Source organism: Homo sapiens, chromosome 11 (assembly GCF_000001405.40).
Source record: "Homo sapiens chromosome 11, GRCh38.p14 Primary Assembly".
In the NCBI taxonomy this organism is placed as follows: domain Eukaryota; kingdom Metazoa; phylum Chordata; class Mammalia; order Primates; family Hominidae; genus Homo; species Homo sapiens.
In genome coordinates, this window is record NC_000011.10 from 67,327,061 (window position 1) to 67,349,370 (window position 22,310).

General features: G+C 45.0%; 1 long non-coding RNA gene across 1 annotated transcript in view, besides 1 other annotated feature; it reads left to right on the forward strand.

Moving 5' to 3' along the window:
* Window positions 1-22,310, forward strand: part of LOC100130987 (uncharacterized) — a 73,849-nt gene that overhangs the window by 9,222 nt on the left and 42,317 nt on the right. The window lies entirely within an intron of this gene.
* Window positions 21,106-21,245: a silencer, noted in NCBI's record as "silent region_3624". NCBI's record gives its function as "represses an Ori minimal core promoter by ATAC-STARR-seq in GM12878 lymphoblastoid cells {active_cell/tissue: GM12878}" and the evidence as "EXISTENCE:reporter gene assay evidence [ECO:0000049][PMID:35858748]".

Below are 22,310 nucleotides of genomic sequence, written 5' to 3' on the forward strand. Positions count from 1 at the left end.
ATTCTCCTGCTTCAGCCTCCCTAGTAGCTGGGATTACAGGCATGCGCCACCATGTCCAGCTAATTTTTGTATTTTTAGTAGAGACACGGTTTCGCCATGTTGGCTAGGCTGGTCTTGAACCCCTAACCTCAGGTGATCTGCCCGCCTTGGCCTCCCAAAGTGCTAGGATTACAGGCATGAGCCACTGCACCCAGCCGATACTGAGTTTATTTACTTGGTTAAGATGGTATCTGCTAGATCTCTCTATTGACAAGGAACTCTTTTCCACGTGTAAAAATAAATAACTTGGATGGTAAGTTGAGACCATGCGAATATGCTTTTCCCCAGCAATCTATCAGCCATTGGCCTTAGCATTAATAATCCTTGCCTAATTTATTTATTTCATTGTGTTTGTAATTTTTATTTATTTATTTATTTAATTTTAGAGACAGGGTCTTGCTGTGTTGCCCAGGCTGGAGTGCAGTGGCTATTCATAGGCGCAGCCATAGCATAATACTGCCTCAAACTCATGGGCTCAAGTAATCCTCCTAATAATACGTAATATTTACAGATGGAATTTTTTTTTTTCCGAGACGGATTCTCACTCTGTCGCATAGGCTTGAGTGCAGTGGCGTGATCTCAGCTCACTGCAAGCTCCACCTCCCGGGTTCATGCCATTCTCCTGCCTCAGCCTCCCGAGTAGCTGGGATTACAGGCGCCCGCCACCACGCCCGGCTAATTTTTTTGTTTTTTTAGTAGAGACGGGGTTTCACGGTGTTAGCCAGGATGGTCTCGATCTCCTGACCTCGTGATCCGCCCGCCTCGGCCTCCCAAAGTACTGGGATTAGAGGCGTGACCTACCACGCCCGGCCAGAATATTTTTTTTTTTTGAGATGGAGTCTCACTCTGTCACCCAGGCTGGAGTGTAATGGTTTGGTCTCGGCTCATTGCAACCTCCGCTTCCCGGGTTCAAGCTATTCTCCTGCCTCAGCCTCCTGAGTAGCTGGGGCTGCAGGCACGGGCCACTACACCTGGCTAATTTTTGTATTTTTAGTAGAGACGGGGTTTCACTGCGTTGGCCAGGCTGGTCTCGAACTCCTGACCTCATGATCCGCCGCCCCCGTCAGCCTCCCAAAGTGCTGGGATTACAGGCATGAGCCACCCGGCCTATAGACAGAATCTTTACAGAGGTGTTTTTTTTTTTTTTTTTTTGGATGCAGTCCTGCTCTAACACCCAGGCTGGAGTGCAATGGCGCAATCTCGGCTTGCTGCACCCTCCGGCTCCCAGGTTCAAGCGATTCTCCTGCCTCAGCCTCCCAAGTAGCTGGGACTACAGGCACACACCACCACACCTGGAGATATTTTGTATTTTTAGTAGAGACGGAGTTTTGCTGTGTTGGCCAGGCTGGTCTCGAACTCCTGACTTCAGATAATCCACCTGCCTCGGCCTCCCAAAGTACTGGGATTACAGGCATGAGCCACTGCACCTGGCCTACAGAGGTTTTAAGTTAAAATGAGGTCTTAGGGTGGATGCTAATCCTCTATGACTGGTGTCCTCATAAGAGAAAATTCAGATATAGACACATACAGAGGAAAGATGATGTGGAGACAGCCATCTATAGGCCAAGGGGAGAGAACAGAACCTAGAACAGATCCTTTTCTCATGGCTCCCAAAAGGAATCAGCCCTCTCAACACCTTGATCTCAGACTTCTAGCCCCCAGAACTGTGAGAAAATAAATTTCTGTTGTTTCAGCTACCCAATCTGTGGTTCTTTGTTATGGCAACCTGTCTTAGTCTGTTGTGTGATGCTGTAACAGAACATCTGAGACTGGATAATGTATAAAGAACGGAAATTTATTCTCTCATAGTTCCAAAAGTGTTCAAGTCTTCTGATTGCGTCCTCACATGGCAGAAGGTAGAAGAACAAGAGAGAATGAACTCTGTGTCTTCACATGGCAGAAAAGCAGAAGGGCAAGAGAGAGTGAACCCACTCCCACAAGCCCTCTTCATAGTGATATTAATCCATTCATGAGGGCGGAGTCTTCATGATCTAAAAAATCTTAGAAGACCCCACCTTCTAGGCTGGGTGCGGTGGCTCACACCTGTAATCCTAACGCTTTGGGAGGCTGAGGCGGGCGGATTACCTGAGGTCAGGAGTTCAAGACCAGCCTGGTCAACTTAGTGAAACCCTGTCTCTACTAAAAATACAAAAATTAGCCAAGCTTGGTGGCACATACCTGTAATCCCAGCTACTCAGGAGGCTGAGGCAGGAGAATCGCTTGAACCTGGGAGATGGAGGTTGTAAGGAGCTGAGATTGTGCCACTGCATTCCAGCCTGGGCAGCAGAGCAAGACTCCATCTCAAAAAAAAAAAAAAAAAAAAAGACCCCACCTTCTAACACTATTGCGTTGGGGACTGCGCTTTCAACACATCAATTTTGGAGGACACCTTCAGACCATAGCACAACTCCAGCAAACTAATGTAGACCTATGCCCAACCATATTAATAACTACTTTCAATATAAACACTCCAATTTAATACTCCAACTAAAAGACAGCAGCCTGGGTGACAGAGTGAGACTCTGTCTAAAAAAAAAAATCAAGATCCAACTATATAATACCTAAAAGAAATATACAGTTGACCCTTGAACAGCATGGGTTTGAACTGCCTGGATCCACACAAGTTCCTTCCCTCCCCTCCCCTCCCCTTCCCTTCTTTTCTTTTTCCTTCTTTCTTTTCTTTTTTTTTTTTTTGACGGAGTCTTGCTCTGTTGCCCAGTCTAGAGTGCAGTGGTATGACCTTGGCTCACTGCAACCTCTGCCTCCCGGGTTTAAGCAGTTCTCTGCCCCAGCCTCCCCAGTAGCTGGGATTACAGGCACCTGCCACCACACCTGGCTAATTTTTTTTGTATTTTTAGTAAAGATGGGGTTTCACCATCTTGGCCAGGCTGGTCTTGAACTCCTGACCTCGTGATCCACCCGCCTTGGCCTCCCAAAGTGCTGGGATTACAGGCGTGAGCCACCATACCCAGCCAGGTTTTTTTCAATAAATATATTGGAATTTTTTTTTAGAGATTTGCAACAATTTGAAAAATGTACAAACAAACCACATAGCCTAGAAATATTGAAAAATTAAGAGAAAGTTCGGTATGTCATGAATGCACCAAGTATAGCTACTGGTCTATTTTATCACTTACTACAATGAAATATAGATAAATCTATTATAAGAAGTTAAAATTGGCTGGATGAGGTGGCCAAGACCTGTAATCAGAGCACTTTGGGAGGCCAAGCTGGGAGGATCACTTGAGGCACGTGCGTATAGTCCTAGCTACTCAGGAAGGTGAGGCAGGAGGATCACTTGAGCCCAGGAGTTTGAGGTCACAGTGAGCTGTGATCATGCCACTGCACTCCAGCCTGGGCAACATAGCCAGACCCTGTCTCTACAAAAAAATTGTTTAAAAAATTAGCTGGCCATGGTGGTACACACCTGTAGTCCCTGTTACTTGGGAGATTGAGGTGAGAGAATCGCTTGAGCCCAGGTTAAGGTTGCAGTGACCCATGATCATGCCACTGCACTCCAGCCTGAGTGACAGAGGGAGACCCTGTCTCAAAAAAAAAGAAAAATTTTGATGCCGTATTAAATCATAACTGCATAAAATTAGTACATACTGTACTACTGTAATAATTTCATAACCACCTCCTGTTGCTGTTGCATTGAGTTCAGTTGTTTCGAGTATCCACTTAAAATGCTGTGACACTAATCATCTCTGCATGAGCAGTTTGTCTATCTAGTAACTTGCCTATTGCAGTAAAAAGGTGATCTCTTGCAGTTCTCATGGAGTTTTCATTGTCTCGTGCAATGCCATCGACCTTGAATTTCAGCATAGGACCCATATGAAGTGCCACTGTTAATGCTGGGAGCACTCCAGGAAGCAGAGAAAAGTTATGACATTTCAAGAAAAATCTGAATTGCTTGATATGTTCCACAGATTGAGGTCTGTACCTATGGTTGCCCACTATTTCAATAGTCAGTGTAAGGACTATTGTAAAAAAAAAAAAAAAAAAAAATAAAGGAAATTGGTGAAGCTATACCAGGAGGTGTGAAAATCTTGCACTTTTTGCAAAATAACTTTTTATCTCATATTGAAAATTCACCTTTTATGTGCAGGGTTGCTATAAGAAAGGAGTACATGTAGACTCTAATATGATGTGAGAAAAAGTGAAGTCATTATATGACAACTTAAAGCAAAAGGAAGGTGAGGATCTAACGCTAGAGAGCTTAATGCCATCAAAAGATGGTTTGGTAGTTTTAGAAAGAGGTTTGGCTTTAAAAATGTCAAGAGAGGCTGGGTGCGGTGACTCATGCATATAATCCTAGCACTTTGGGAGGCCAAGATGGGAGGACTGCTTGAGCCCAGAAGTTTGAGACTAGTCTGGGAAACATGGCAAAACCCTATTTCTACTAAAAATCCTAAAAATTAGCCAGGCATGGTGGCATGCACCTATTGTTCCAGCTACTTGGGAGGCTGAGGTAGGAGAATCACCTGAGTCCGAGAGGTCGAGGCTGCAGTGAGCTGTGTTAGTGCCACCGCACTCCAGCCTGAGTGATGGGAGTGAGATTCTGCCTCAAAAGAAAAAAAAAAAAGGTCAAGATAACAGGAAAAGCACCTTTTACCTTCCAAGAGACAAAAGATGAGTTCTGAGATGCCAATAAGAAAATAACTGAGGCCCAGCGCGGTGGCCTACACCTATAATCCCAGCACTTTGGGAGGCCGAGGTGGGTGGATTGCTTGAGTTCAGGAGTTTAAGACCAGCCTGAGTAACATGGTGAAACTCTATCTCTACTAAAAAAAAAAAAAAAAAAAATACAAAAAATTCACCAGCTGTGTTGGCAAATGCCTGTAGTCCCAGCAACTCAGGAGGCTGAGGTGGGAGGATCACCTGAGTCCAGGAGGTTGAGGCTATAGTGAGCTGTGATTGTGCCACTGTACTCCAGCCTGGGCAATGGGAGTGAGAACTTGTCTCAAAAAAAAAAAAAAAAAAAAAAAAGAGGAGGAGAAAAGGTACCTGCCTGAACAGGTTTTTAATGCAGAAGAAAAGAGAAAACCACAAAAGACCTTTCTTAGTAAGGAAGAGAAGTGAGCAGTAGGATTTAGGAAAGAAAAGAGACTAACTCTATTGTTTTGTGCAAATGCAGTCAGGTTTATGATGAAGGCTGCCCTTATCTATAAATCTGCTAACCCCCAAGCCGAAGGGAAAAGAAAAACACCAGCTGCCAATTTTTTGGTTGTACAACAGGAAAGCCTGGACAACGAAAACCCTTTTTCTGAATTGATTTCATTGATACTTTGTCCCTGAAGTCAGGATGTACCTTGTCAGTAAGGGGATTGCCTTTTTTTGTTGTTTTTTGAGATGGAGTCCTGCTCTGTCATCCAGGCTGGAATGCAGTAGCATGATCTCAGCTCACTGCAGCCTCCACCTCCTGGGTTAAAGCAATTCTCCTGCCTTGGCCTTCTAAGTAAGTGGGATTACAGGCACGCACCACTATGCCCAGAGAATTTTTGTATTTTTAGTAGAGACAGGGTTTCACCATGTTGGCCAGGCTGGTCTCAGACCCCTGACCTCAAGTGATCCGCCCGCCTCGGCCTCCCAAAGTGCTGGGATTACAGGCGAGAGCTACCACACCTGGCCTGGGATTGCCTTTTAAAATTCTCTTGTTATTGGACAATGCCCTTGGCATTGAACCCCATCAGTTCAATACCGAAGGTGTCAAAGTGGTCTGCTTGTCTCCAAACACATCGTCTCTAATTCAGTCTCTAGATCAAGGGGTTCGTAAGGACCTTAAAGGCTCATTACACATATACATGGTACTCTATGGAAAGGACTGTCAACTCTATGGAAGCGAACCCTGATAGAACATCGTGAAAGTCTGGAAGGATTATACCACTGAAGATGCCATCATTGTTATGGAAAAAGCCATGAAAACCATCAAGCCTGAAACAATAAATTCCTCCTGGAGAATACTGTGTCCAGATGTTATGCATGATTTCACAGGATTGATGATAAAGCCAAGCAAGGAAATCATGAAAAAGATTGTGGATATGGCAAAAAAGATGGGGTGAAGGGTTTGATATGGATCTCAGAAAAATTGAAGAGCTTAATAGACACCACCCAAGACGAATTAACAGAAGATGACTCGATAGAGATGAGTGCTTCTGAACCTGTGCCAGATGAAGAAGAAGATGTAGAAGCAGCAGTGGCAGAAAATAATTAACATTAGTCTAGAAGAAGGGTTCTGATTATTCAGGACCACTTTTGACATTTTTTATGACATGGACCCTTCTGTGATGCAGGCACTGAAACTCAATCAAACAGTGGAAGAAGGATTAATACCATATAGCAGGGGTCCCCAACCCCCAGGCCACCGGAACCAGGCCATATAGCAGGAGGTGAGCAACGGGTGAGCAAGCGAACACAAGCTTCATCTGCATCTACATCTGCTCCCCATCACTTGCATTCCCACATAAGCACCACCTCTTGTCAGATCACAGGAGAGCGAACCCCATTGTGAACTGTGCGTGTGAGGGATCTAGGTTGCCAGCTCCTTATGAGAATCTAATGCCTGGTGATCTGTCACTGTCTTCTGTCACCCCAGAAAGGACCATCTAGTTGCAAGAAAACAAGCTCAGGGCTCCTACTGATTCCACATTATGGTGAGCTGTCTAATTATTTCATTATATATTACAATGTAATAATAATAGAAATAAAGCACACAATAAATACAAAGTGCTTGAATCATCCCGAAACTACCCCCTTAACCCCATCTATGGGAAAAAAGTCTTCCATAAAACTAGTCCCTGGTGCCAAAAAGGTTGGGACTGCTGCTATATAGAAACATTTTTAGAGAAATGAAAAAGCAAAAATGTCAGACAGAAGTTACAATGTATTTCCATAAAGTTACACCAGAATGTGCCTGCCTCTCCTGCCTCCCCTTCCACCACTTTTGCCTCTGCTGCCCCTGAGACAGCAAGACCAACCATTCCTCTTCCTCAGCCTACTCAACGTGAAAGCGACGAGGATGAAGACCTTTATCACGATCCACTTCCACTTAATAGTAAATATACTTTTATGATTCCCCTGCCCTCCCCTCCCCTCCCCTTCTCTTTTTTTGAGACAAGGTTTCATTCTCACCCAGGCCAGAGTGTAGTGGTGTGATCTCAGCTCACTGCACTTCAGCCTCCTGGGCTCCCAGGCTCAAAGGATCTTCCCTCAAAACTCCATCTCCAGCTGAGCATGGTGGCTTGTGCCTGTAATCCCAGCACTTTGGGAGGCGAGGTGGGCAGATCACCTGAGGTCAGGAGTTTGAGACCAGTCTGGCCAACATGGTGAAACCCTGTCTCTACTAAAAATACAAAAATTAGCCAGGCATGGTGGTGCACACCTGTAATTCCAGCTACTTGGGAGGCTGAGGCAAGAGAATCGCTTGAATCCGGAAGGCAGAGGTTGCAGTGACCCAAGATCGTGCCACTGCACTCCAGCCTGGGCCACAGAGCAAGATTCTGTTTCAAAAAATTAATTAATTAATTAATTTTTAAAAACCCCATCTCTACAAAAAAATATGAAAAATCAGCTGGGCACAGTGGCTGTAATCCCAGCGATTTGGGAGGTTGAGGCGAGTGGATCACTTGAGGCCAGGAGTTCGAGACCACCCTTGCCAACATGGTGAAACCCTGTGTCTAGTAAAAGTACAAAAAAAGGCCAGGTGCGGTGGCTCACGCCTGTAATCTCAGCACTTTGGGAGGCCGAGGCGGGCAGCTTACTCGAGGTCAGGAGTTCAAAACCAGCCTGGCCAACATGGTGAAACCCCATCTCTACTAAATATACAAAGAAATTAGCCAGGCGTGGTGGTGGGCACCTGTAATCCCAGCGACTCGGGAGGCTGAGGCAGGAGAATTGCTTGAACCTGGGAGGTGGAGGTTGCAGTGAGCCAAGATCGCATCATTGCACTTCCGCCTGGGCAATACAGCGAGACTTCATCTCAAAAAAAAAAATTAGCTGAGCGTGGTGGCGGGCGCCTGTAGTCCTAGCTATTCGGGAGGCTGAGGGATCGCTTGAGCCTGGGAGGTGGAGGTTGCAATAAGGCAGGATCTCACCACTGCACTCCAGCCTGGGCAATAGAGCCAGACCTTGTCTCAATAAATAAATAAATAGGCCAGGTGTTGTGGCTCACACCTGTAATCCCAGCACTTTGGGAGGCTGAGGCGGGCGGATCACAAGGTCAGGAGTTTGAGACCAGCCTGAACAACATGGTGAAACCCCATCTGTACTAAAAATGCAAAAATTAGCCAGGCCTGGTGGCGCAGGCCTGTAATCCCAGCTACTTGGGAGGCTGAGGCAGGAGAATCGCTTGAACCTGGGAGGTGGAGGTTGCAGTGAGCCAAGATTGTGCCACTGCACTCCAGCCTGGGCGACAGAGTGAGACTCCATCTCTAAATAAATAAATAAATAAGTAACCAACAAATGCACAATTGTCAGAGATTTGAAAACCTTTTGGGCTGGGCGCGGTGGCTCATGCCTGTAATCCCAGCACTTTGGGAGGCCAGAGCAGGTGGATCACCTGAGGTCAGGAGTTCTAGACTAGCCTGGCCAACATGGTGAAACCCCATGTCTACGAAAAATAGAAAAATTAGCCAGGCGTGGTGGCAGGCGACTGTAATCCCAGCTACTCGGGGGGGCCGAGGCAGGAGAATCACTTGAACCCCAGAGGCAGAGGTTGCAGTGAGCCAAGATCATGCCATCGTACTCCAGCCTAGGGGACAAAAGTGAAACTCCATCTCAAAAAAAAGAAAACCTTCTTTTGGCAATTAATAGAACAACTAGACAAAAAAGCAGCTGCATATAGAAAACCTGAAAAATACCATCAACCAATTTGATATAGTTGACATTCAAGAAACTCCACCAAATAACTGCAGGTGATCCGCCCACTTCACCATCCCAAGTGCTGGGATTACATTTTTTTTCAAGCACACATAGAACATTAGCCAAGCTAGATTATATCTGGGCCATAAGATAAGTCTCAATATATTTCTAAAGATTAAAATCATTGCTTAAGGCCAGAAATTCAAGACCAACCTGGGCAACATATTAAATAGATAGACCCCATCTCCATAAAAAGTAAAAAACTTAGCTGAGCATGGTAGCACGTGCCTATAGTCCCAGCTACTTGGGAGACTGAAGTGGGAAGATTGAGCCTAAGGAGTTGGACGCTGCAGTGAGTATGATTGTGCCACTGCACTCCAGCCTGGTTAAAGAGTGAGACCCTGTCTCTATTTAAAAAAAAAAAAAAAAGGGAAAAAACCCCAGACAACCTTACAGAATACTCTCTGATCATCTGATCACAATGAAGTTAAATTAGAGACAAATAATATTAATAGTAACATATCTAGAAAGTCCCCAAATGTTTAGAAATTAAAGAATATATTTCCAAAGAATATATTTTTAGGCCAGGTATGGTGGCTCACACCTGTAATCCCAGCACTTTGGGAGGCCGAGGAGGGAGGATTGCTTGAGGCCAGGAGTTTGAGACCAGCCTGGGCAATATAGCGAGATCCTGTCGCTACAAAAAATAAAATTAGCCAGGCATGTTGACACATACCTGTAGTCCCAGCTACTCAAGAGGGTGAGGCAGGAGAATCACTTGAACCCAAGAGGCAGAGGTTGCAGTGAGCTGAGAACATGCCATTGCACTCCAGCCTGGGTGACAAGAGTGAAACTCTGTCTCAAAAAAAAAAAAAAAGTATTTCTGTATAACTAATGAATCAAAGAAGAAAACACAAATGAGAAAATATTTCAAACTGTAGCATATGAAGGCACAGAATATCAAAATATGTGTGGTGCAGCTAAAGAAGTACTTAAAGGAAAGTGGATAACTTAAAGTACCTACATGAGAAAAGAGAAAGGTTTAAATTTGGGGGGGCAGTGGTCAGAGGGACAGAGTGGGACACTGGAGTGCAGTGGTGGGATCTCGGTTCACTGCAACCTCTGCCTCCCAGGTTCAAGCGATTCTCATGCCCCAAACTCCTGGCTTCAAGTGATCCACCCACCTTGGCTTCCCAAAGTGCTGGGATTACAGGCATGAGCCACCGTGCCCAGTGGAAAGGTTTAAATTAATAATTCTATGTTTCTACCTTAAGAAGCTATAAGAAGTTTGGCAGTTTCTCCAAAAGTTAAATAGAATTACCATATGACCCAGCAGTTCTACTCCCTGGTATATACGCAGGAGAATCAAAAACATGTTCATAGAAAAATGTGTACACAAATGTTCATAACAGTGTTAGCCAAAATGTGGAAGCAATCCAACTGTCCATTCACGAATGAATAAACAAAATGTGGTATATCCCTATAATGGAATATTATTCAGCCATGAAAAGGAATGAAGTGGTTATATGCTACAAGATGGATAAACCTTGAAAACCTTATGCTAAGTGAAGAAAAGCAGACACAAAATGATTCCATTTATATGAAATTTTCAGGGCTGGGTATGGTAGCTCATGCCTGTAATCCCAGCACTTTGGGAGATTGAAGTGGGAGGATTGCTTGAGCCCAGGAGATCAGCGTGGGCAACATAATGAGATCCTCTCTACAAAAAATAAAAAATTAGCCAGGCGTGGTGACATACACCTGTAATCTTGAGGCATGAGAACCCTTGAGCCAGGAGGCCAAGACTGCAGTAAGCACTACTACACTCCAGCTTGGGCAACAAAGTGAGACCCTGCCTCAAAAAAAATTGTAAAAAATTAATTATAAAAATGAAAATTTTAGAATAGACAGATCCATATAGACAGAAAGCAGATTAGTGGTTGCCAGGGAGGAATTGGAACTGACTGCCATTAAGCACAGGTTTCTTTCTGGGTTGATGAAGATGTTACAGAATTAGATATGGTAATGGTTGCACAACATAGTGAATATACTAAAAATCACTGAATTTTACACTTTAAAATTGTGAATTTTAGAGGCTGGGCATGTTGGCTCATGCCTATAGTCCCAGCGTTTTGGGAAGCCGAGGCGGGTAGATGGCTTGAGTTCAGGAGTTCGAGACCAGCTTAGGCAACATAGCAAAATCCCATCTCCACAAAAAATACAAAAATTAGCCTGGCGTGGTGGTGCGTGCCTGTAGTCCCAGCTGCTTGGGAGGCTGAGGCTGGAGAATTGCTTGAGCCTGGGAGGTCAAGGCTGCAGTGAGCCGCAATCCTGCCACTGCTCTCCAGCTCAGGAGACAGAGCAAGACCCTGTCTCAAAAAATAAATTAATTTTAAAAATGGTGAATTTTATATTATGTGGATTATAGTGCAAAAAAAAAAAAAAGAAGAAGAAAAGAAAAGAAACAGCACAGTGCTGTGCACCTGTAGTCCCAGCTACTCATGGGGCTGAGGTGGAAAGATTGAGCATAGGAGTTCGAGACCAGCCTTGGTGACATAGACCCTGTCAAAAAAAGAAGAAAATATTTTATTTTATTTTATTTTTTGAGACGGAGTTTCACTCTTGTTGCCCAGGCTGGTGTGCGATGGTACGATCTTGGCTCACCGCAAACTCTGCCTCCCGGGTTCAAGTGATTCTCCTGCCTCAGCCTCCCAAATAGCTGGGATTACAGGCATGTGCCACCACACCCAGCTAATTTTGTATTTTTAGTAGAGACGGGGTTTCTCCATGTTGGTCAGGCTGGTCTCGAACTCCTGACCTCAAGTGATCCGCCCGCCTCGGCCTCTCAAAGTGCTGGGATTACAGGGTAAGCCATGGCATCCGGCCTAAGAAGAAGAAAATAAAATAAGCTAGAAAAAGAACAAGTTAAGTCCAAAGGAAGGAAATAATGATGAGCAGAAGTTAATGAAATAGAAAACACACAGAGGTTGGGAGCAGTGGCTTATGCCTGTAATTCCAGCACTCTGGGAGGCTAAGGCAAGAGGATCGCCTGAGCCCAGGAGTTCAAGACTAGCCTGGCATAGTGAGACCCCATCTCTACAAAAAGTAAATTTAAAAAATTAGCTCAGTGTGGTGGGGCATGCCTGTAGTCACAGCTACTTGGGAGGCTGAGGTGGGAGGAACCCTTGAGCCTGGGAGATAGAGGCTGCAGTGAGCCATGATTGCACCACTGCAGTCCAGCTTGGATGACAGAATAACACCCTGTCAAAAAAAAAAAAAAGAAAATACATAAATACACACACACACACACACACACACACACACACACACACACACACCAGAGAAAAATAGCAAAGCGAAAAGTTGATTCTTTGAAAAAATAATAAAATTGATAAAACCGTATCAAGACTGATTAAAAAAAAATACAGGCTGAGCATGGTGGCTCACACCTGTATTCCCAACACTTTGGGAGGCCAAGGCCGGTGGATTACTTGAGGCCAGGAATTCAAGACTAGCCTGACCAACATGGTGAAACCCCTTCTCTACTAAAAGTACAAAAAATTAGCCAGGCGTGGTGGTGCACACCTGTAATCCCAGCTACTTGGGAGGCTGAGGCATGAGAATCACTTGAACCTGGGAGGTGGAGCCTGCAGTGAGCCGAGATCATGCCACTGTACTCCAGGGCAACAGAGCAAGATCTTGTCTCAAAAAAAAAAAATTACCAATTATTAGTAATGAAAGAGTAGATATCAGTTTAGATTGTTATGTATTAAGATGATAAAAAGGAGTATTTATTGTGAACAACTTTATGGAAATAAATTTGACAACTTGAATGAAATAACCCCTTTTAAAAATGTTTTATTTATTATTTATTTTTGAGACAGGGTCTTACTCTCTTGCCCAAACTGGAGTGCAGTGGCAATCATGGCTCACTCCACCTCTGGGGCTCAGGTGATTCTCCCACTCCAGCCTCAGAAGTAGCTGGGACTACAGGTGGGTGCCACCATGCCTGGCTAATTTTTCGTACTTCTTTGTAAAGATGGGGTTTCGCCATGTTTCTTAGGTTGGCCTCGAACTCCTGAGCTCAAGCAATTCACTTGCCTTGGCCTCCCAAACTGCTGGGAGTACAGGCGTGAACCACTGTGCCTGGCCAGAATCTTTTAAAAACCACTAGAATGAAGTGGATTTACCAAGGTAACAGGATACAAAGTGAATATACAAAAACCATTTCTATTTCTATGTTCTAGCAACAAACAATGGGAAAATGAAAATTTTTTTAAAATCCACTTTTAATAGAATAAAAACCTTGTTAGGAATAAATTTAGCCAAAGATAAGCAAGACCTCTACACTTAAAACTAGGCTGGGTACCATGGCATATGACTATAGTCCCAGCACTTTGGGAGGCTGAGGCAGGAGGATCGCTTGAATCCAGGAGTTCCAGACCACAGACCAGCCTGGGTGACATAGTGAGACCCTGTCTCTGCAAACAAAAGGAAACAAAAAAACACCAGTTTTTAAAAACTAACTAACTCTATATGATTTCAAGCTTTATTGTGAAGCTACACAAATCAAGACAGTGTGATGTTGAGATAAACACATCAATGCGAAAGAGAGTTTAGCAGTAGTCCCACACTTACATGGCCAAATTATTATCATTATTTTTTTTTTATTGAGACGGAGTCTTGCTCTGTCGCCCAGGCTGGAGTGCAGTGGCACAATCTCGGCTCACTGCAAGCTCCGCCTCCTGGGTTCACGCCATTCTCCTGCCTCAGCCTCCCAAGCAGCTGGGACTACAGGCATCCGCCACCACGTCCGGCTAATTTTTTTTGTATTTTTAGTACAGACAGGGTTTCACGGTGTTAGCCAGGATGGTCTCAATCTCCTGACCTCGTGATCCACCCTCCTCAGCCTCCCAAAGTGCTGGGATTACAGGCATGAGCCACTGCACCTGGCCATGGCCAAATTATTTTTGATGACAGTGCCAACGTAATTAAGTGGGTAAAAGGTCTTTGAGCAAATGGGGCTGGAACTGTATATCCACCAAAAGTTAGTTTCTTGAAATAAGTTAATAAAATTGAGGCTGGGCGCAGTGGCTCACACTTGTAATCCCAGCACTTTGGGAGGCCGAGGATGGTGGATCACAAGGTCAGGATTTCAAGACCAGCCTGGCCAACATGGTGAAACCCTGTCTCTACTAAAAATACAAAAATTAGCTGGGCATGGTGGCGGGCACCTGTAATCCTGGCTACTCAGAAGGATGAGGCAGAGAATTGCTTGAACCCAGGAGGCAGAGGTTGCAGTGAGCCACGATTGCGCTACTGCACTCCAGCCTGGGCAACAGAGCAAGACTCTGTCTCCAAAAATAAAATAAAATAAAATAAAATAAAATAAAATAAAATGAAATTGTTAAGTCCCTAGTAAGACTAAGAAAATAGAGAAAATATAAATCCCCAATTATCAGGAATGAAACAGTGAAATTAAAAATAGATCCTAAACCTAAATGTAAAAGCTAAAACAATGAAATATCTAGAAAAAAATAGAAAATATTTGTTACTTTGGGGTAGGTAAACATTTCTTAGGACATAAAAAGCAGTAACAAAAAAAATGATAAATTGGATTTCATCAAAATTTAAAACTTTGGGCCGGGTGTGGTGACTGATGCCTGTAATCCTAGCACTTTGGGAGGCCGACACAGGTGGATTATGCGAGGTCAGGAGTTTGAGACCAGCCTGGCCAACATGGTGAAATCCTGTCTCTACTAAAAATACAAAAATTAGCTGGGCATGGTGGCACATGCCTGTAATCCCAGCTACGTGGGAGGCTGAGGTAGGAGAATCGCCTAAACCCAGGAGGCGGAGGTTCCAGGTGAGCCAAGATCACGCCATTGCACTCCAGCCTAGGCAACAAGAGCAAAACTCCATCACACACACAGACACACACGCACACACACACACATTTTAAAACTTTCGTTCTTCTAAAGATACTATTATGAAAAAAATTCTGGCCGGGTGCAGTGGCTCACGCCTATGATCCCAGCACGTTGGGAGGCCGAGGAAGGCAGGTGGATTGCTTGAGGTCAAGAATTTTGAGACCAGCCTGGCCAACGTGGTGAAACCCCATCTCTACTAAAAATACAAAAATTAGCCAGGTGTGGTGGCACGCGCCTGAAATCCCAGCTACTCGGGAGGCTGAGGCAGGAGAATCCCTTGAACCTGGGAGGCAGAGGTTGCAGTGATCCAAGATCGCCCCACTGCACTCCAGCTAGGGTGACAAAGCGAGACTCTGTCTCAAAAAAAAAAAAAATTCCAAAAATTTTATCTGGAACCACTAAAGACCCCAAATAGCCAAAGCAATCCTAAGCAAAAATAACAAAGCTGGAGGCATCATACTACCTGAGTTCAAAATATACTACAAAGCTATAGTAACCAAAACAGCATGGTACAGTCATAAAAACATACACATAGACCAGTGGAACAGTATAGATAACCCAGAAATAAATTCACACAACTGATTTTCAGTAAAGGTGCCAAGAATATACATTGGGGAAAAGATGGTCTCTTCAATAAGTGGTGCTGGGAAAACTGGATATCCACATTCAGAAGAATGACAAAAATTAACTCAAAATGGATTAAAGACTTAAATATAAGACCTCAAACTATAAAACTACTAGAAGAAAACACAGGAGAAATGCTTCCTGACATTGACCTAGGCAAGGATTTTTGAGATAGGACCTCAAAAGCACAGGCAACCAAAGCAAAAGTAGACCAATGGGATTACATCAAACAAAAAGCTTCTGCACAGCAAAGAAAACAATAGAGCATGGCCAGACACAGCAGCTCACACCTCCAGTACCAGCTACTCTGGAGGCTGAGGTGGGAGGATTGCTTAAGCCCAAAAGTTTGAGGCTGCAGTAAACTTTGATTGTGCCATTGCACTCCAGCCTGGGTGACAGAGCAATACTCCATCTCAAAAAAATAAAATGGTAGAACCACTTCGGAAAACAGACTGGCAGTTTACTCTAAAGTCAAATATATATATATGATATATAATGTAGCAATATGATTCTTTGGCATATAGCCAAGAAAAAATGAAAACCTGCCCACACAAAGACTTGTACATGAATGTTTATAACAGCTCCATCCATCAGAGTCTAAAACTGGAAACAACCCAAATGTTCATCAGCTGATAAATGGGATAAATACATTTTAGTATATTCACACAATGGATTTTTTTTTTTTTTTTTTTTTTTGAGACGGAGTCTTGCTCTGTCATCCAGGCTAGAGTGTGGTGGCACGATCTCGGCTCACTGCAACCTCTGCCTCAAAGGTTCAAGCAATTTTCCTGCCTCAGCCTCCTGAGTAGCTGGAATTACAAGCGCGCGTCACCACACCTGGTTAATTTTTTTTGTATTTTTAGTAGAGACGGGGTTTCCCCATGGTGGTCAGGCTGGTCTTGAACTCCTGACCTCATGATCTGCCCGCCTTGGCTTCCCAAAGTGCTGGGATTACAGGTGTGAGCCACTGTGCCCGGCCAATACACAATGGAATATTATTCAGCAACAAAAGTGAATGAACTTGGCCAGGCATGGTGGCTCATGCCAGTAATCCCAGCACTTTGGGAGGCTGAGGCAGGAAGATTGCTTGAGTCCAGGAGTTCAAGACCATCCTGGGCAACATAACGAGAATTAATTAATTTTTTTTTTTTCCACATAGAGATGGTGTTTCACTCTGTTGCCCCAGACTGGTCTCAAATTCTCTTGAGCTTAAGCAATCCTCCTGCCTTGGCCTCCCAACATGCTGGGATTATAGGCATGAGCCACTGCACTTGGCCCTTATTTTTTTTTGGAGACAGAGTCTTGCTCTGTCACCTAGGCTGGAGTACAGTGGTACAGTCACACCTCATTACAGCCTCAACCTACCAGGCTCAAGGGGTCCTCCCCAACGTCAGCCTCCCGAGTAGCTGGAACCACAGGTGCAAGCCGCCACAGTGGGCTAATTTTTAACAGTTTTTGTAGAGACAAGATTTTGCTATGTTACCTGGGCTGGACTTGAACCCTTGGCCTCAAGCAACCTCCCACCTTGGCCCCCCAAATATTTGGGATTACAGGTGTGAACCACCGCACCTGGCCCAGTCTCTTATGGATGACAGACTTTTAGGCTATTTATGTTCTTTGCTATTACAAAGAGTTTTATAATAAATAACCTTACATATGTTATTTTACATATACCAACGTATCTGTAGGATAAATTTCTAGATATAGACTGAAAAGGATAGGTGCATTTATAATTTTGATATATAATGCCAAATTAGTGTCCTTGGAGTTGTACAAGTGTATACTCCAGCATTGCAGAACTAGAATAGTCAGATCCTGGCCAGCCATTCTCCCGAGAGCATGTGGAGAGGTGGGCTGGATGGCTCACTGCAATGATGACTGTCTCTACTCTGCACCTCAGAGGACCTCAGCTAAGCACTCCATGGCCAGCCCACTGGAGGCACAGGCTTCAAAACAGGAAACGAAAAGGGCCTGCTTCTGCAGTTGACAGCTTTGATGCCTTCCTCACTGAGAAGGCCTTAGGAGAAGATGGCTCCTGCCATCAAGGCCACACAACTCCTATGGAGAAGTGACTTAGAGCCCAAAGAGTTGCATTTACAACTCTCACACAAATGATTCTCACGGGCTAGACAGGATCAAAAAGTACGTGTGAGTAGGCTGGGCACAGTGGCTCACACCTGTAATCCCAGCACTTTGGGAGGCCGACGTGGGCAGATCACCTGAGGTCAGGAGTTCGAGCCCAGTCTGGTCAACATGGTGATACCCCGTCTCTACTAAAAATATAAAATTAGCTGGGCATGGTGGTGCCTGCCTGTAATCCCAGCTACTCGGGAGGCTGAGGCAAGAGAATCCCTTGAACCTGGGAGGCAGAGGTTGCTGTGAGCCAAGATTATGCCACTGCACTCCAGCCTGGGGGATAGAGCAAGAGTTTGTTTCAAAAAAAAAAGTAGATGTGAGTGAAGTGGGACGATTTGGTCAGCTTTTTTTTTTTTTTTTTTTTTTTTTTTACACAGGGTCTTGCTGTGTTGCTCAGGCTGGAGTGCTGTAGTGGGAATATGGCTCACTGCATTTCAACTTCATGGGCTCAAGTGATCCTCCTGCCTCAGCCCCACTATCTGGGGCCACAGGCGTGTGCCACACCGAGCTAATTTTTAGTTTTTTTTTGTTTTTTGTAGAGACAGGATACCCCTTTGTTGCCCAGGCTGGTCTCAAACTCCTGGGCTCAAGTGATCCTCTTTCCTCAGCCTCCCAAAGTGCTAGGATTACAGGGGTAAGCCACTATGACCAACCTCAGCCAGCTTTGAGCGCTTACTATGTAGCCAACCTTGTGTTAGGTATACACCAGCAGAGATAAAATATTCTCTAGCACTGAAAACAATGAAGCGTATTGTTGTGGCAATGTGACATGCTGTAATAAAACAGAAACAGGTTACCGTGGGAAGCAGAGGGGAAATCCTTAACTCTCTTCAGGGAAGGCTGCACAGAGTGAAAAACATCCTGCAGTCAAGGGCAGGGCCTGCAGGCATAGGAACCATTGGCGCCTCTAGGTGAGGTGAAGGGGCATCCACGAGGTCAGGATGGAGGCTCACATCCCAGAGGGAGCTCCTAGGAGATGCCTTTTCCTTCAAGAGACAAAGGACCAAAGTTGGGCTTAAGAAGGACTCAGATCTCAGATGCCAACACATGGTCTACCATCACTTGTTCACCTGGAGGGCACCCCTACTCGTCCTTACATACTCAGCTGAAGGTTGTCATAGGCCAGGCCCATGCCTGTCTTGCAGCATTGTTTGAAGTATACTTGCGCGTCTGTTTTCTGTCTCCCTACTACAGTGAGCTCTTGGGGCTTAGGGCCTGGGGTTCTAATCATTTGCATCTGCCATGACTAGCACAAAGTTATGGTTTTCTAGCTTAGGACTCAGGTGGATAGACTCAGGTGGATAAACTGCGTGGAAAACCAGGAATCATTTTGAGAATCTCTTGAGTCCCAGAGGTGGCAGTAACCCAAATTGGCCTCAAGCTGGCACTGTTGTAGTTTTCTTCTGTTTCTAGACCAGTTCAGAAACTTGCTTCTTTCCTGTGTTGACTTTAGTTTCTTGGTAAATTAGCTCCTTAAACCTTCAAGCTACTAGTGAGTTTGTCTGAGGGTGGATAAATGTTGCCACACCTGAGTCAATAAAGAATGAATCAGTGTGGCCTTCATAGAGGGGTGTGGTACTGGTAGTTACCATGACAGCCAAAGACACTCGAGAGAACTACAAAACGAGGATAGCGGGAAGTGGGAAATGGAGGAATGGAATTGAGGGCAAGTCCCCTCCATGCTTCCTGACAGTGTCTTCCTTGATGTCTCTGCAGCATCACACCGGTGACCTCTGGGACACTGCTCTGCCTTGGTTCTCCTGCCACTCTGAGCACTCTTCCCCTCTGGTTTGCTGGATCTTCTTCCACCATTTTCTAGAGAGAATTTTCCCAGGTGCCATGCTTGGTCTTCTCTTTGACTGTCTCTCTTGAATCTTTCATCTGTGCGCATAGGTCAGTTCTATGCAGGTGATTTCCTTGTCCCCTGGATACTGCCCCTCCCCTGACCTCTCTGCTGGACTTGAGCTCTGTTTCCATTTCCTACCAGATGTTTCCATTTGGTGTCCTGTCGTCATCTCAAACCAAGCATGTATAAAATTGAGCCTGTCTTCCCCCTCCCAGTTTCCATTTTTCTTCCCATGGCATCAGCATTCTCTCACCCACCCAAGCTCAAAACCTGAGTCATATTTGACACCTCCTCCCCATTCTTCCCTTACCAAATGCAAGTTTTGCCAACTTCTTTTGCAACATCTCTTATAGTTCTTTGTCCCTTTATTTTATTTATTTTTATTTTTTTTGAGATGGAGCTTCGCTCTTGTTACCCAGGCTGGAGTGCAGTGGCGCGATCTTGGTTACTGCATCACTGCAACCTCCGCCTCCCCGGTTCAAGTGATTCTCCTGCCTCAGCCTCCTGAGTAGCTGGAATTACAGGCATGCACCACCACGCCCAGCTAATTTTGTATTTTTAGTAGAGACAGGGTTTCTCCACGTTTGTCAGGCTGGTCTCGAACTCCCAACCTCAGGTGATCCACCCGCCTCGGCCTCCCAAAGTGCTGGGATTACAGGCATGAGCCACCGCTCCCAGCCAAATGCTAGTTTTTTATGATTTTATGTGGAAACCTCTGTGGTATATACTTCACAGCTCTGTGCACCTAGCCTGTGGCACACACATAATTCCCTCCTGCTTGCCTTTGTTCAGCTCATTCCCTTAGTCTAGAACACTATTCTCTGGCTGGGTGTGGCAGTTCACTCCTGTAATCCCAATACTTTAGGAGGCCAAGGCAGGAGGATTATTTGGCCTCAGGTGTTTGAGACCAGCCTGGGCAACATAGCAGGACTATCTCTCTAAAAAAAAAAAAAAATTTTTTTTTAATTAGCTGTGTATGACACGTGCCTATAGTCCCAGTTACTTGGGAGACCAAGGCAGGAAGATGGCTTGAACCTGGGAGTTTGAGGCTGCAGTGAGCCATGATTGCACCACTGTGCTCCAGCTTGGGCAACAGAGCAAGACCCTTTCTCAAAAAAAAAAAAAAAAAAAAAAAAAAAATATATATATATATATATATATATATATATATATATATATATATATGCTTTTTAGTATTTCTGAAGTGCTGTTCAAACTGAGTGAGGTGGTATAGTAGATGTATCAGGGGTACCTGAAAGCAGCCATAAGCCACATGTGGCACATCTTCCTGGAGACTTCATTTTATTTAATTATAAATAATTTCACCTACTTTTATGTTAATACAGCTACTCCAGGCCGGGCACAGTGTCTCATGCCTGTAATCCCAGCATTTTGGGAGTCTGAGGCGAGTGAATCACTTAAGGTCAGGAGTTCAAGAGCAGCCTGGCCAACATGGTAAAACCCCGTCTCTACCAAAAATACAAAAATTAGCCGGGAATGGTGGTGGGTACCTCTAATCCCAGCTACTTGGGAGACTGAGGCACGAGAATTGCTTGAACCCTGGAGGCAGAGGTTGCAGTGAGCCAAGATCATCCCACTGCATTTCAGCCTGAGTGACAGAGTGAGACTCTGTGTCAAAAAAGAAGTACAACTACTCCAGACATATGGAGTAGAATGCAAAATTGATGAAGGAAATGACTAAGAACATTCCGCATGGTGCTGTCCCCTACAGTGGGGAGTCTGCATTCGCCCTGCGGTGGAAGGTGGGAAGGTGAGAAACAGGGACCCCTGATTAGAAGGGGCTAGGTGCAGATGAGGTGCAGCAGGGGGAATACAATGCAGCGGGAGGAAGGTTGCAGTCCCTGTGCTCGAGGCCCCTGCAGCGGGTCCCTGTCACCCATGGTGCTCTTTCCTTTCTGAGAACTCAGACAATTCAGTGTCTGTGCCACTCCTAGGTTGCCTCGGGAAAGCACTCATATTACATGGTTTTCTAACTTGCCACATATGTAGTCCTTATCTCCTCGACAACATTCTTATCCTCCAACATCTGGAGTGCAGGTGCGGGGTGAATTCAGGCCCTGGTGTTTACTGATTGAGCAAGGCACTTTTCCTCTCAGCCTTGGTTTCCTTATCTGTAAAACATGGATAGTACTTCCCTAATGAGATTGTTCTCAGGATTCAACTAGATAACATGTGTGCAGCATTTCACATAGCAGATGGCATGGATAGGCACTTAGTAAACATCAGAGCCCTCCCAGCAGTGTCAGGCTCTTAGTAAATATCTGATTCTTGAATATTCCCATCCCCAAATATATCCCCCTACCTGAGGCTCCTCTCATATTCTCTGCCTCCCTTCCTGTCACAGTGCATGTGTCTACTGAAGGCCACCCTCTTCCTGTATCCTGGTTCCTGGCCCTCCTCACCCTCACAAAGATCTCACTCACACAACTGCCTCCTCATCTCCGGTAACCTCAGGTTCCCTCGCTACTGGATCTCTCAGATCACTTCTCTCTCTACACTCACTCTGGGGATCTCATCCACTGTTGGAGCTTTCAAGGCCATCTAAAAGATTCCCAAGTTTATATTTTAAACCTAGAATGCCTCAGAATCCGAGACTTACATATCCACTGCCTATACCCCATGTCCCTTTGGAAGTGGCACAGATACTTCAGCATGTCTAAGATGGAGCTCCAGATTCCTGCCCCACCCTTCCCACAAGTCTTCCCATCTTAGTAATGAGAACTCTGTCCTTCCAGTCGCCCAAACCAAAACCTTTGGAGTTATCCTTGGCTCCTCCCTCTTAAATCCCACAGTCGACCAATAGGCAAGTCCTGCCAGTCAGCTCTTCCTTAAAAATACAGAGCGTACCTGGCCAC